At 42.7% G+C, this 16,389-nt stretch overlaps 1 protein-coding gene across 21 annotated transcripts in view, besides 1 other annotated feature; it reads right to left on the minus strand.

Annotated features, from left to right (window-relative positions):
- Window positions 1-16,389, minus strand: part of FANCC (FA complementation group C) — a 218,656-nt gene that overhangs the window by 85,106 nt on the left and 117,161 nt on the right. The window contains exons 1-2 of one of the 21 annotated variants that reach the window (XM_047422958.1): window positions 5,652-5,732; window positions 2,342-2,486 (exon numbers count right to left, since the gene is read on the minus strand). The exons of 19 other annotated variants lie outside the window; for them this stretch is intronic. The gene's annotated coding sequence lies outside the window, so the exon portion shown is untranslated. Of the gene's footprint in view, window positions 1-2,341; window positions 2,487-4,329; window positions 5,733-16,389 lie in introns of those variants that run through there. One more of the 21 variants, XM_047422957.1, reaches the window with a different exon arrangement.
- Window positions 8,948-9,242: a silencer, noted in NCBI's record as "tiled region #1665; HepG2 Repressive non-DNase unmatched - State 13:Ctcf, and K562 Repressive non-DNase unmatched - State 13:Ctcf". NCBI's record gives its function as "represses a minimal TATA promoter and a strong SV40 promoter by Sharpr-MPRA in HepG2 and K562 cells {active_cell/tissue: HepG2 | K562}" and the evidence as "EXISTENCE:reporter gene assay evidence [ECO:0000049][PMID:27701403]".

Consider the following 16,389-nt stretch of genomic DNA (forward strand, 5'->3'; position numbering starts at 1 on the left):
AATGAATTTTATTTATTTACATAATTATGGCATTATATGTAAACATCTAGGAAAGCATTTATGTTATTATACTGGAATTGTTTACTTAATATCAAAATGCCCAAACTGACTAAATTACCTGCAAGTGACTTATATTTTTCTAAATTAAATACCATGGTGAAAATTGGCCAATTTTCTTACAACACAATTTTAAATTATCACTTCCCCCTGCAAACAAAGACAAACTAGAAATTAAAACAACTCATAAGCACCACCTACATTTACTTCACTAAAAAAAGAAAGAAATGTCCTCTACAGAGTAAGATGGACCACCACTCCCCGGCAAAGCATTACATGACAAGACAGCAAAGAAGATTCGTGTTACAAAACTGTTAAAAATACATGTGAAAGGTCTGCATAAAGGAAGACCTTGGATCTTAGCAAGAAAAATTCAATGTCACAAAGATGTCAGTTCTCTGGCATAGAAACTCAATGCAGTACCAGTAACAATTCCAAATAGGGTTTTTGGTGGAACTTCAGAAGCTTTTCCAAAATTCACATGGAGAAGCAAGGGGCCAAGAACAGCACATGCTAAGGGAAAGAAGAAAATTATAGAAATAAACAGGCAGCATCATTCTGTTTATATAAAGTTCAAAAGCAGGCACTAAAGGAGATATGGTTCACAGATACACACACGAGTGGTAGACGTGCAAATCCCTCCAATCACCTCTGGCTGAACGTCCTAAAGGTACCAAGTACAGTAAAGCTAATCAGATACTTCACACTATCCTATTCTGTGCCTGTTAGTCTGAAGCCACCTATAATACTGAGATGTCTCAGGAACAAAATATTCTTGTAACACAGTTTCACTGATAACTCTTAAAATCTGAAATCCTTAATATCTGAAATGATAAAGAATTTCTTTCCATATTATGACATACAGTGCATACCCATTGGCTGGTGATAAAACTATTATAGAAATAAGATATAAATTGCTTGAAAAGGTATTTGGAATTTTGTAAGATAAAAAGTATTTCAGTCTCCTATTTCTTTGTAACTTACAAATTAAGAATTAAAAGATATTCCAACATGCAAATAGCACTCTTCATATTAGAATAATCTACAATCGAAATGCAGAAGTCAGTCCTAAATTAAAGGTATGGTTTTACTTTTAATTCTTTCTGAAAATCAGGCATGTTTAAGTTAATTTAAAATTTGTTGAGAAAAAAGGAGTCATTATCTTTATTATATATATTCATGTTAATGCATCCTTTAGCGAAGTAATAATGAATGGTTGGACTTCTTTAGGCATGAAGACAGTCTAAGCTTAGGGCCTAGACCTTATTTCCTTCCAACACAAAAATGGCAGTCTGAGTAAATTAACCTAAGCAGTGACACAGGAAACAAATCATGCCCAATTCCCAACCTCGAACCCAACAACTTGCTTCCAACAGTTAATGGTCTTCCTTATCACTCTTATTAGGGCACGACAGATTCCATCTAACAGATCTGCAATTACCATAGTTCCTTTTCTTTTAATCCAGTATTTAAACTGTTCAATGATTTCCACTTTCACAGAATCCATATCTACCTAAGCCTAAGTGGACAAAGTATAATTCAGCGAACAATTCCCATCTGCAGGAAAACTAACCATATAAAACATGTTTTCGGAAACACTTGTCCCCATTACATGGTTAGGAAGCAAAATTCAACAAGTAGTCATTGACAATTTTGCCTCTTTCATAAACCACACTTTGAGATGTATAAAAGTATTGCTAATTTCAAGTCAGAGAAGAAGCCAAGTCTAATTAATTTTTTCCTCAGAAAATCTGAAATCTTATCATATGTTTAAAATGGACTTATTATTCAGCACTTTTTTGTTTTTGTTTTTTAGGAGATGGGCTCTCAGTATGTTGCTCAGGCTGCTGTGGAGCTCCTGAGCTCAAGGGCAATGTTCACACCTCTGCCTCTCAAGTATGCACTCTGTGGGTGGGGCCCTAGAATCTGCTTCTCCAACAGGAGCACAACTCACCCCACTACACCAAAGGCTGGTGTTGATAAACTACATATTGGTCAAGCCCCTTAATAAGGCTGTTGAAACACCATTAAGATAAGCAGGTTTAAACCGATCACATTTTCTCAGTGTTGCCACCATTGGCATTTTGGGCCTGACAATTCCTTGTTGCAGGGGCCTGACCTGTGCATTCCCGCCTTCTACCTCCTCAATGCCAGGAGCCCCCTCACAAGTTGTGACAACCACACGTCCCCAGACATTGCTCAAATCCCCTCGGCAGCAAAACTGCCTCAGCTGAGCAGCTCTTCTTTAAACACACACCCATTTTTAGAAGTGAGTTTGGATTACCGTTTTTGAACATTCATCTTGTCTTTGGGATAAAGATAGATATTGGCAATATAAAGGAGACTTGTGTGGCTGCTACAGAAACAGTCCAGGAGTTACTGTCATGTGAAGAAAGCAAGTCACAGAGTAAGAGTCAGTATAATTCCACCTATGTGAAAACAAACATAAAACAAAGTTATTTTCATATATAAAGGCAAAGAAGACTATAAGAATCTGCACAGCCCACTGATACCAGGTTACTTCTGAGGAGGCTTTTGAGGTTAGGGGGAGACTGCTGCGCTCGGACTGTTGGATTTTTTTTTTTTTTTTTTTGAGAAAGAGTCTCACTCTGTGGCCCAGGCTGGAGTGCAGTGGCGTGATCTCAGCTCATAGCAACCTCTGCCTCCCGGGTTCAAGAGATTCTCCTGCCTCAGCCTCCTGAGTAGCTGGGATTACAGGCATGCGCCACCACGCCTGGCTAATTTTTGTACTTTCAGTAGAAACGGAGTTTCACCACATGGTCTCAAACTCCTTACCTCAGGTGCCTTGACCTCCCAAAGTGCTGGGATTACAGGTGCGAGCCACCGTGCCTGGCCTTAGGATAATTTTTAAAAACGGTGTTAGGTCTCCTCAGTTTTCAATTCCATAAAAGTAGATGATAAAACTGACTTTGAGGAAGTTCACAGAAGTGAGTGAGGCACATGCACGGGAAGCAGCGAGCGTTACGCACTCCCAGCACGTCTCCCATCTGATGCTGCTGTATCTGAAGTCGCAGTTCGGATGAGCATGGAGTATAATCTGAGAGCTGCGTAACCCCAGTTCCTGGGTTCTGGATACCTCTAACCTTCTCCCTTCTCCCTCTTCATGGTCACGGCCAAGGCCCACCTCCTGCCCTCTGGCTCATCTCCAATGCCTGTCCTGCATACATACACTCACCTGACGATATCATTTCTAGGTCTGCCACAAATGTATGCAGAGGCCCAGGAGGAGCCAAGACTGAAAACCGGAGGGCCTAAGTCAGCGTTTCTCAGGATGTCATGTACAGAGACCTCAATCTGAATTATCCTGCAGACCACCTTGGTCCCACCCAGCCCACTGAATCCAAACCTCTGGGGGTGGGCCCTAGAATCTGTTCTTCCAACAGGACAAACACCCCCTTTCCACTGCACTGTAAAGTCTGGGGCTCACCAGCCACAGACCTGACTATAGCTCAAATGCTGTGTGTCTTTATCTCCTGTGCACTAGGGAAAGAACCAGGAGAGGACAGCATAGGGGGAAGCCCAGGTCATCCTGTGACCTCCCCACCTCTGCCGGAGTGACCCCTTCCTCTGGTTCAAAATCTCCAACAACAGGGTGCAGACATGACCTAGACCACCGTGTGTGGTGAGATTACTTGAGGACCTGAGGTAGAACGCTTTCAGGATGGAAACGTCTCAAGACTTGGAGTCAGACCCATTTAGGTTCAATGAGTAGTTCTGCCACTCAGTGAAGAAACTCACTTACTGTCACTACGCATCAGTGTCTTCATGTAAATCGCCCGGCTAGAGATCTGGCTCATAGTAGGTGCGAAATAAATGTTAGTTTCCATGGTTCAGTGCCAGGGCTGTTTCTCTGACACAGGCCAAATGTCTAGAACCTATCCTAATTAGGGGGAGAAAGAGGTCTTTAATGTCTTCTGTTTCATCATTCTGTTTGCCTACACAGCAAGCATTTATCACTGCCAATACTAAACTGAACTCTTTTCTATCTCCCACAAGAGATGCAATCTTCACTGTCTCTTCCTGGGGTTCTTCCCAGGCTCCCAGGAAGGCAGGTGTCACGCCACTACTGCCACAGCTTCAGGAGGCACACAGCGCGTGGGTTAATGCAGCCTGCTCCATGAAAAGCTCCCACTGGCTCTTGCCACTGCCTCCAAGCACAACTTCATACTGAAAACATCACACCCCAGCACCATCATTGCCCCTAGGGAGAAGACACAAGAAGTCAGAAGGAACCACAAGCCTACAACTTACACTGCTTGGTCCCATAAAGAAGGTCAGGAGTTCCTAGAAGGGAGAAATTTCCATCCAGTGAAAAGCAAAATATTTGCTTTCCTTGGTACATATTGCTCCTGTCCATAATTTCAAATCTTCCTACTCAGTAAACCTTATCATCCTTCAGTGGTGGTCACATGGCAGTCCGAAACACGTCAGTGTTTGTGTCTGTTTTCTCAGTAACTTCTCTCTTTGTTTCCCACTAACTGTTACTTCCTGCAGTTTCCTGTTCTCTCGCATTTTTATGTCCACTCCTCCCGAACCCTGCCATTTATAATCCCTACCTGGACTGACTCTTGGGGCTTTGCCTCCTGTCCTCAAGCCTAATCTGCCTGAATCCTTTTCTCATTTCACTCTGCATACTCAAACTTACAGTATGATGTGCCCTATGATTTTTAATTAAAAAATTACACATAAGTTACAAATGATATTTTAAGTTCAAAAAAAGAATTTCCTTTCATTTACATCTCAGTATATGTAATTTTCTCATGATAGCATATTATTTGTGCATTCTGGGATGCTATTCAAATACTGTGAATATCAATTAAATACGCCAATTGCTCTAACTTAAAAAAATGGAACAAATTTATTCCCATCCCTTTTGCAGTTTTACATCCACAGCCAAAACAAATTACTGCAGACACATTTCTGTAGCTTTTGCTTCAAAATCCTGCCTTCAATGTTTTTTTTTTCCCTTTTTAAAATTTATATGTCCCATTGCAGTTTAAGTGAAATGATCTACAATAAAAACCTAACTGCCCTGGTATTTTTAGAGCCCTTTTTACTATGAAATAAACACTCAGAAACCTGGAGAATTGCAGTGGTTAAGTCTGTGAGTGGGAAGGAAGGCTGCTCATTCACAGACCCTCCCAGCGCCCGTTGTTTACATAGCCTATTCCGTGAGCAGGATGCTGACAGAACACAATTCACAGAATTTCCACACACAGGTCCAACCATAACAAAGTCTGCAGCTTTTACTTTTGCTTACAGAACCTCTTGCTTGCTCGCTCATTAGTTCCGGGGGGGGAAATAGAGTAGGCTTCCCAAAAACCAAAACCAAAAGGCTTTAGAAAATAAGCCTGAATGAAACCATGGCATTAAACCGTATCTATAAGAATGTATACAGAAATATGTAGATACACAGACCTGGAAATGTGTGCTTTACTAAATACATTCACTAGGAGCAGATCATGCATTTGATAAATATTCTGCCAGGCTTAAATAATCATCCCTTTGAAAACACCCTCATCTCCCTGGCTTGCCCCCTTTTCTAAAGTCCAGTGGTACTTGCTGTGTAAAACCTTGGCCCTTGTGAATCCATGCTGCAGCTTTTCTTCCTGGTGCCCACACAGCTGAACACTGCTGGAGAATATCAGACAACTGAGCTGACAGCGTTGGCTTGGATTTCTGACCACAACCCTTGAAGGGAAGGGGCTCAGCAGTGCCTCACAATCTTCTTATGCATCCTTGGTCATTTTGCTTGGCCACTTCCTGAGTAATTATTTCCTGCTTCCTCTCTCATCACACCACCACCCCTTCCCCAAAAGTCCTGGTGAGGAGCTCATCTCATATGTAGTTGAGAAAATAGCAATTAGCAAGAAACTCACTCATCTCACCACCAACCAATTTAACCAATTTACAAGCTCACCTGCACACGCACACCCCCCATGTCCTGTCTTCCCTCCTGTTCAGATGGAAGGAGTGTCTCTGCTCCTATAAAGTGCAGCTGTCCACTTGGGCCCTGATCACCTCCACTCCTACCTCGCCAGGACCCTCCGCAGCAGTGACCCGCGTCATTGCTGGATTTCTCATGTCAATTACAAACATGCTAGAAGAGCTACCTAGATTAAAAAGAAAAAAGTTCTCCTTGATCCTACCTCTCCCTCCTTCTAATTACTCCTCATCTCTGTGTTCTGCATTTAGCACAATTTCCTGAGAAAGCTGTCTAAACTTGCCTTCTTTGCTTCTGCAACTCACATTCATTCTTCAGGCTTCTCTAATCTGGCTTCTATCCCTACCAGTTCACCAGTCAGAACTCCATGCTACAAACCGTGGGATCCACCCCTGCACCCTCTTGCTTGCCCACTCAGCGGTGCCCTGGGCTGCCTCTCCCCCAGGGCTGCACCTGTACATCTCCAGGATGCACACACACTGCCCGCCCTGGCACTGTGTGGGTGAGACCAGAGCAGGTCAGCAGGGTGGCCCTGGTTTCTGCTGCTGGTACACCGCATGCTACACATTTTTCTTTTCATCTAGTCTAACTTAGCTGGTACTTTCTCTTCAACCCCATTTTTAGACACTGGAGACCTGGGAGCTCAAGTGATCCCCAGGAGATTTTGTACAGTCCCATGATTTTAGATGCCATTTCTATGCTGAGGTCTTCTGTCATGAAGGGCTGGACTCCAGGAAATTTTGTATAGTCCCGTGGTTTTGGATGCCATTTCTGTGCTGGGGTCTTCTGTCACAAAGGTTGCACCCCAAGAGATTTTGTATAGTCCCGGGATTTTGGATGCCATTTCTATGCTGAGGTCTTCTGTCATGAAGGGCTGGACTCCAGTCTTGAGGTGTCAGGACAGTGGCTTTCAAGACCATGAGATTTTGTACAGTCCCATGATTGTGGATGCCATTTCTATGCTGGGGTCTTCTGTCATAAAAGACTGAACTCCAGGCCAACTTCCCCTTCGGCCTTGCATCTGGGCAGGTCAACAGAAGACTAAGAAAGCCTGAGTGCTCCCTCCTATGGCCCAGGGTGGGGTTCAAACCTCACAAGGCCCAGCCCAGCCCAGCCCAGCCCAGCCCCAGTCACCATCCTACTTCCTTTTTTTTTTTTTTTTTTTTTTTTTGAGACAGGGTCTCACTGTTTCCCAGGATGGAGTGCAGTGGTGTGATCTTGGTTCACTGCAGCCAAGACTTCCTCAGCTCAAGCAATCCTCTTGCCTCCCAAAGTGCTGGAATTACAGGCATGGGCTACCACACCTGGCCAGCATCCTACTTCTATAGGGTGACCACACCTTCCAAAATTCTAGTTCCAGCCCTGCCATCTCTCCTATGCTCCAGATCATATATGCAACTAGCTTGCCTGACATCTGCAACTGTGCAATTGGTATCTCAAATTTAACACAACTAAGATTCTTAGCCCAGCCATCCCCAAGCCCCTTTTTCATCTTTGCCACCCAAGAACATGATTCTACCAACCACATGGTTGCTCCAGTCAACATTTTAGATGTTACCTTCGACTCATCCTTCAAATCCTCTCCCTCATCCTCCATACGCAGCCCATCTGCAAGTCCTGCCAATTACAGCTCAACTACACTCTGGATAGGTCTGCTTCTCTCCAGGGCACTGCTTTCACCGTGATCCCAGCCACCATGATCTCTCACCTGCATGCTGTCACAGCCTCCAGTCTCGTTTTTCTCATTTTATTCTTGCTTCCTCCCCCGAGATCCATTTTCCATAAGGCAGCAAGAGGAGGGAATGTTAGGACATATCTCTCTTAAGGCCAAAACAATTTTTATGAGTAAGAAATGTGAGTTGTTCTGAATGCAGTAATACTTTTGATGAGACTTATTTCCTTTTTAAGAATGAAGATGCAGGGAACAATGGGAGGAACACCTTGGATGTGATATCTAAAATCGATTCCCACGGTGCTTCAGCCATGTCAAGCTGGACAACTACATCTGCTGGGACCAACGACAGGAGGAGCAGGGACAACGACCAAGGACATCACCAGGTAGACATCGTGTTGCTATGTGAAGGTGACCTGGTGGTAGTCACCTTCACTTGTTCCCAGATTTGAGAGACAAGCAAGTCTGTTACATCTCCAGTTCCTGCCACAGGTACTTTCAGTTGAAACTTGACGCCCCAGGGATGGGAAACCCAGTAGTGACACAGAAACTGGATTAGACATTCAAAGACCTCAGTCCCAGTTTCCCAACTTAACTAGCTTTTTAAATGTTTCTTAACATTTAGGGCCTCACTTTTCTCATTTTCAAAGTGAGGATATAACATTTTTCACAGGGAGCTGTTCAACGCAATTACGAATGAACAAACTATAGAACACCATTCAAATATGTTATTAAATATAACGTCTCTAGAAATGTCCCTTTAAAAACAGTACCTGGAATTTGACTATCAAATTTTTAAAATTACTATTATTGAAGCAACAGAAAAAGATTACAGAAATTTCAGAGACATAAAGGTATAGTCAAAGTAGAGACTCTTGGATCTTGCAGAAATGACAGAATTCTATTTCCAGCTTCTTTGTCCAACCTAGACATCAGCTTTTTCCTATACGGTTTCATTTCCTACCACATTTCCTGCCCTTCATTCATCCAAAGGTTACATGTAAGAATGGGAACAGGCAGAATTTCAATAACCAACTACATAGTACTACATTGTCCAAATCACTGAACAAACAAGATTCTCTTGTCAGAAAGTTCCTTTGTTATAAAATCTTTACTATAGTGTATCTATATTCAAAATAGATTAGGGGATATTTATTGAGCACCTCCTATGTACCTGGCTTTGGAGATGTAGCAGCCAACAAGAGTTGAGGTGGCTGCCTTCAAGGGGTTTACATTCCAGTGAGGGAAAAGGGAAGAGGCAACGAACACATATAGAAGTCAACAAGATGAAGATGACCAACAATAAAAGAAATGAAGAGCATGCTGATTAGATTAGAAATGGATACGATTCACTTTAGATAAGCAAGGGGGCGCTACTCCAAAGACTAAGCATGGGATCAAGACCTGAAAGGTAAGAAAAGAGCATGCAAACAGCTTGTGGAGTAATCGGCAAGTTCAGCCCAAAGGCAAGGAAAAACCCAGACTCTAGCTAGGCCATGGCGAGCAGAAGAAGGAGTGCTATGAGATGAGGGTGGAGACGAAACAGACCTCCAATCATGTCGCATCCTGTATGCTGTGGTAACAGGAGCCGTGGGTGTGATCAAAGGGTATTCAATAGGTAAACAACTTGATTTTGTTTTCAAAAGTATTAAATTTGAGATTATTTTGTGAACATTGGGGAGGGGAGCACTAAAAATGTCTCTAAATGGGGCAGTAGCATGAGTTATGCTTTACAAAAATTGGGTTGGTAAGACTGTGCAAGACAAACTGAAAGAGGAAGATGACATTGGAAACTGAGATACTACAGGTTGGTGCAAAAGTAACTGCGGTTTTTGCCACTGACCAGCTATCACAGTCAAAATGTAAAGGGTGCCCAAATTGCAAGGGCGGCAATGGCAATGAAGAGAAAAGGATAAAAGTGTGAAATACCACACAGGTGTGATAGACGGGATTTGGTGCTCACTGGAGCAAAAGAGGGAGAACTCAGAGCTACGGAGGGTCATTTCAGCCTAGCCAGAACGAATGCTGCCACAGGAAGACATACCAGGCATAAAGGTGAGGCCCAGGAACCAGGAGGACAGTGTGTTCCATTTAAGCCATGACACCACTTTCTTCTCTCCTTCTGAGTCCACCCTGTTACTTCCAAGGCTGCACACCAGTACCATTAGTGACCCTGAGCCATACACCAAACCAACTGAAGAAGGATATAGAGGGTTGTGTTTTTTTTTAAATTCCATTGGTAATTCTGATGTGCAGCCAGGGCCAAAACTCACTGGGCCAGGCAGAGCATGGAAACTAGATTAATTAAATTTCGTATATTTTTGGAGATGGAGGATTACTTTGGTCATTTTCCTTCTGCTTGAAGAACAGTCTTAGTACTCCCTTTGTGGAGCTCTGCTGGTGACAAATTCTCCTACTTTTCGTTTACCTAAAATGTCTCATTTTTAATGGATTCCTCCACCCCCATGAATTTGAAGATATCATTACACTGTCTCCTGGCTTCCATTACTTCTGTAAGAAGTCAACAAGCAGCCTGTCAAGGCTGGCACTAAGAAGATGCAGGAGAGCATTTGCCTTGGGTACAAAACTATCCACAGCCATGTTCCTACCAAAAATGCATGAGTAACGCAGTTCCTCCACATCTTCACCAGCATTTTAAGTTCTCGCTGGCTTTTATTTTAGCCATTTGATAGGTGCGTAGTGATAGCCCACTGTGGTTTTATTTTTTCACTTCCCCAATGGCTAATGATGTGAAATATCTTGTCATGTGTTTATTTGCCATTTTTTTTTTGCTCATGAACTTATTTCACCTTTTCGTGAAATAGTGTTTGCCCATTTTCTAACTGGGTTGTTTTTTACCATTGAGTTTTGAGATTTCTTGATTATCTAGATACTAGTCCTTTGTTATTTGTGGCTTGCAAATATCTCCTCCCAGTCTGCCATTGTCCTTCACGTGGGCTTTCACAGAACACAAGGTTTTAGTTTTGATGAGGTCCTAACACAGTTGATTTTTCTTTTTACATATTATGCTTGGGGTAGCAAGTATAGAAACTATGCCTAGTTTGGCCAGGCTTGGTGGCTCACGCCTGTAATCCCAGCACTTTGGGAGGCTGAGGCAGACAGATCACGAGGTCAGGAGATGGAGACCAGCCTGGCCAACATGGTGAAACCCCGTCTCTACTAAAAATACAAAAATTAGCTTGGCGTGGTGGCACGTGCCTGCAGTCCCAGCTACTTGGGAGGCTGAGGCAAGAGAATCACTTGAACCCGGGAGGCAGAGGTTGCAGTGAGCCAAGATGGCGCCACTGCACTCCAGCCTGGCAACAGAGTGAGACTCCGTCTCAAAAAAAAAAAAAAAAAAAAAAAAACCAACTATGCCTAGTTCCAGAGCCTTTTTTTTTTTTTTTGAAAAGTTTTATAGTTTTACATTTTACATTTAAATCCCTGATCCATTTGAGTTAATTTTTGTATAAGTTGTGAGGTTTAGGTTGATGTCCAACTGCAAAAGCACCATTTGTTGAAATTTCTCCATTGAATTGCTTCTGTACCTTTGTCAAAAACCAGTTGAACTTATTTGTGTGGGTCTATTTCCAGGTTCTCTGTTCTGTTCCATTCATCTATGTGTCCACGCCTCTGTCAATATCACAGGATCTAATTATTGCAGCTATCACAGTAAAGACTTAGTATTAAATACAGTGATTTCTCCCCGTTTTCTTGTCAAAATTGTTATAGCTATTCTAGGGCTTGTGCTTTTCCCTATAAATTCTAGAATAAGTCTGCCTATGAATATAAAAAGCCTTGCTAGAATTTTGATAGGAAATGCTTTAAAGTTATAGATCAATTTGAGAAGAACTGACATCTTTACTAAGTTGAGTCTTCAATGCATCATCACTAAATATCTCTCCATTTATTTCAGTCTTTAAGCATTTATTTCATCAGCACTTTGTAACTTTCATTAAACAGATCCCATTTTGTTATGTATATACCTAAGTATTTTATTTTCTTTGGAGTGACTCTAAAATATATTGTGTTTTTAGTTTTGGTTTTCAAATGTTCATTGATAGTATACGGAGATGGAGTTGACTGTTGTGTGTTGATCTTGTATCCTGCAGCTCTGCTGACCTGATTTATCAATTCTAACAATTGATTTATTTTGGTTTTTGGTAGATTCTTTAAGATATTCTATGTAAACGATTATATCATTTGCAAATAGCAATGGTTTTTCTTCCTTTACAATATGCAGGCCTTTTATTTCTTTTTCTTGACTGATAACAGTGTCTTGAACTTCCAGTGTTATAAGAACGAATCTCCTTGCCTTGTTTCTGGTCTTGGGGGGAAGTATTCAATCTTTCACTATTAAATATGATATTCACTCTACGTGTTTGGGAGGTGCCCTTTATGAAGTTGAGGTAATTCCCCACTATTAATTTATTGGGAGATTTTTTTTTTAAATCATGAATAGGTATTGGATCTTATTAAATGCATTTTTCCTGCATCAATTGATATAATCACATGCTTTTTCTTCTTTAATATGGTGGATTACACTGATTGATTTATAATATTTTAAAGTCTGAGTCTTAACGCTAATATCTGGAGCCCCTATGTGTCTGTTTTATTGTCTGCTATTTCTACTGATTCAATTTTGTTATCCTGGCTCTTTGTATACCTAGTTATTTTTATCTACACCAGACACGACACTACACTTGCAAAACTGCTGGCAGAAATAATTTGAGATACCAAGATAATATTGTCGTCCTCCAAAGAGGCTTCTGTCACACCTGAATCACTAGCAATCCAGGATTACCCTAATCCAGGGTCAGTGACTGAGATGATCTGAGGGTAAACTGCACACTCTCTGAGGGCCTGTCTGCTTCGGTTCACATTTACTCTTCAGGTGCTTCCCTTCAAGATCCCAACCTCAAGTAAAAGGTTCACCAGGATGTGCTCAGTTGGCAGACCACGGACTCTAATTTCTGCCCTCCTAGTCCTGTGATGCTCCAAAAGCACCTTGCTGCTTAATCGTCTCCTTTGTAACTGGCAGACACCCCTAGTCCTAAACCATAGGCTCACCTCCTGTGGCCTCTACCTTTCCCTGGACTCTGACTGAGAACATATTTACTATATCATGAGCTTTTTCAAGCTTTGAAGCATATTTTTCATATTTAGTCTGAGTTTTCTCATCCTTAGGAGGAGGTGTCACTTGATTTCTGAGTTTGCAATTGCTAAAAACAGAAGTCCCTCATGACCTATCCTGAGTACCTGATGAAAGTTGTGAACCCTCTTCCAGGAAAACTATATATGCCTACAATATTTCCACACAATTTCATGGAGTTTTCTGACCCTTTGAAGCCCATCCATGAACACCAGGGCCCAAGGTCCTCAAGTTAAAAAAGCCAACTATAGCCAAGTGCAGTGGCTCACACCTGTAATCCCAGCACCTTGAGAGGCCGAGGTAGGAGGACTGTTTGAGCCCAGAAGTTCCAGACCAGCCTGGGTAACAAAGGGAGACCCTGTCTTTACAAAAAAACTTTTTAAATTAGCCGGGTATGGTGGCACGCATCTGTAGTCCCAACTACTTGAGAAGCTGAGGTTGGAGGACTGCTTGGGTCTGGGAGGTCAAGGCTACAATGAGCCATGATTGTGCCACTGCACTCCAGCCTGGGTGAAAGAATCAGACCCCGTCACAAACAAACAAACCCCAATATAATAAAGGAACTGTATGGTAGTTATAGTTGAGACGTACTGAAAGCTTTCTCTGCCAGGTACTGTGCATCTAGCCCTGTCATCATGCTTATCTTGCACATGGCCCTCACAGTCTGCAGGAATCGTGGCTTGTTAGTTAAATTGCAGAGCTGACTCCTGAGGAAGGCCAGTGGTGCTGGGCCCAAGAGGACCTTCTACTGCTGCTGCAGCCAAGATGCCAAGCCCTGAGTTGACATAAAGGAGTTACCAGGCAGAAGGCCAAGAAACAAAGTCTCAAGCCTGGACATGTTCTGAACTGATGAAGCCATCCAAAAAGCCCTTCTGAGTGGGTGGAACAACACAGCAGAGGTCCCCACAGGACCCAAAAATAGTAGTCAAGTAGGCATCAGTGGCCAAATTCCAGGAGTCCCTAGAGAAAGGGTTGATCTCATCAGGGGAGAAGGTCTACAATCAAGAATATAATCACGGGTTGAGACTCAAGACTCCTAGGATGGGCAAAGGGCTCCATGCCAGAGTCTTGGCTCAGAGGTGTTAAAGGCCCCTAAGCCAGCACTCGCAGGAGTGAGACACACGTCATGACCCAGCAGCTAGTGGAGATGGAATTTCTGAAATGCTACCACAATTCACTGTCTTTAGCTTGGGACTTAGGTGGGAAAGGGCTATAGAACACAACAGTGACTCTTGATGGGGCCAATTCAAAATCCACTAATCTGCTATTAAAACATTTTTGTGGCTTTACTGGCATTTAGTGGTTAAGGAAAACTAGAAATATACCATATAATAGCAAACTGTCACACACAATTTTCAGACGTTCCACTGTATCATCATGTATGTGGAACCTTCTTTTAGAGCCTAAAGCTGTTTTACATAGAAATACAAAATATGTTTTGCATGTTCTGGCATCCTCTGACTTCTCTGAAAATGTAATTACCCTGTTGGTCAGGGAAGATTTTACAGCAGTTTCATCATAGCATTATCAAGAGTTGTCTATCGTTTTGGAAAATCACCTCCTGGAAGGCAAGGCCACATGAGGCCCTCCTCTAACAGCCTGAATTTGCAGTGGTCACATTCTCAGAGAGCCCATGTGTAGATGCATGCATCCGTTCATGATGTCTCCCAGTCTCATAAGACCCAAGTATTTACACTGGAAATGTACATTATCTTATTAAAATTTTTTTTGTGTGTGTGGGGGAGGGGAGACAGAGTCTTACTAGAAACAGGTCCAGACTGGAGTGCAGTGGCGCCATTACAGCTTATTACAGCCTCCACCTCCTGGGCTCAGGTGATCCTCCCGCCTCAGCCTCCCAAGTAGCTAGGACAACAGGTGTGCGCCAGCATACCTGGCTAACTTTTAAACTTTTTTTGTAGAGCCAGGGTGTCGCTATGTTGCCCAGGCTGGCCAGGAACTCCTGGGCTCAAGTGATCCTCTTGCAGTACTGAGATTACAGGTGTGAGCTACTGTGCCTGACCTAGTTTTCTTTATATTGTAGTAAAGGCAATATATGAATTTTTTTTGAAAGAGTATTTTGAATTTCATTTCAGGATCTCCAACCAGGTATTATAAAACATCTGTTATTAAAAACCGGTGTTGGATCTGAATGGGTTTAGACCTTGCCATGTATCAAATCCTTAAAACAATCTGTTCCACAGACTGCACTCTGGCCAGTTTTCGAAGCCCCCCACCTCACCCCTAGTACTTAAAATCCTTTCCTCCTGCTGCTGCTTAGATATAGAGAAGCCTTCCCAGGATTGACTCTGCAGCCCCACCCTGCAGCCCCACCCTGCACCCACAGCCCTCTCTGCCTCCTTGGGCCCCTCCTACTCACCATGCCTCCTCCCAGTGCGTTCTGCTCACCTCCTACATCCCCTTCCCTCTCCTCACCTACTAAAGCCCGAATTGCTCTTCCGGTGTCAGCTCCAGCAAGACCACCTCATGTCCGTTTGCCATGACCTAACTAGCCACCCTTCTCCCAGGGCGTGGTCTCTCGGTCTAAGGAAGTACTGACTGATGGCTGTTTGCCTCCTGAACCATCTGAGCACCACTGTGTGCCCAGCACAGCACAGACAGTGCCCAGCGCACACAGGCATTCCATTTGTTGAATGGAGGGGTGGGGGAACAGAGAAAAAACTACCACCAGAGGCTCCTGGTTTCCAGTCCAAGGATGAGTGTTTACAGTAGTGACTTCCAGAGTTCTGAAAGGTATATACATTCGCCTTGGTACAATGGCTCTGCTGTTTAGGTGAAACCTTTCATACTTCATTTCTCCCCAAAAGTTTTACATTTTAAGAACCCTCTATACAACAGAGAGGACATTTATTAGATAAAAAAAATTTCCCCAGCTTATATGAACCTTCTTTGTTTCTTAATAAACACTTATCTTATTTTTAGGATGATTTATACAAGTTAGTAGCTATCTGCTCCATGCAGTATAGCTACTGATAATAATATGTATTTTATATTTAAAATTTTTCTTTTATTTCGGTGTAAATTCAGAGGATAAACCTCTCATTTCTAAGTTTTCATGGTCAGATCTTCAAGATTACAGATGAATGCAAACAGATGCTATTACAAATACCAGTGAATACCTGGCGTTTGAAAATCCGGCACATGAACCACTGGGAGTTCATGCACGGTAGCAGTCAGGGACCCTGGATCTCAGAGCAAAGCTGCTGGGGTTCACATTAGTACCCACCACTTACTGGCTACATTACCCTAGGAAGCTCAACTCACCTATCTAATGAACCTGAGTTTTCTCAACCACAAAATAGGGATATAATAATAGTTCCTAACTCAGAGAGTTGGTGAGGGAATTAATTGGGGTAAGTCTCATTTCAAAATGTGCGAAACTTTGTAAGCAGTCAATAAGTGTGTGTTATAAACAATTTTATGGCAGTTGTCCATCCACAAGCCATGGTGTAAACTATCAAGGAGGTCTAAGCAGCTGTTTACGGGAGAGTGGCAAGACGAACAGCAGAGTCAGGGATGTGAGGA

Source organism: Homo sapiens, chromosome 9 (genome assembly GCF_000001405.40).
Source record: "Homo sapiens chromosome 9, GRCh38.p14 Primary Assembly".
Taxonomy (NCBI): Eukaryota; Metazoa; Chordata; class Mammalia; order Primates; family Hominidae; genus Homo; species Homo sapiens.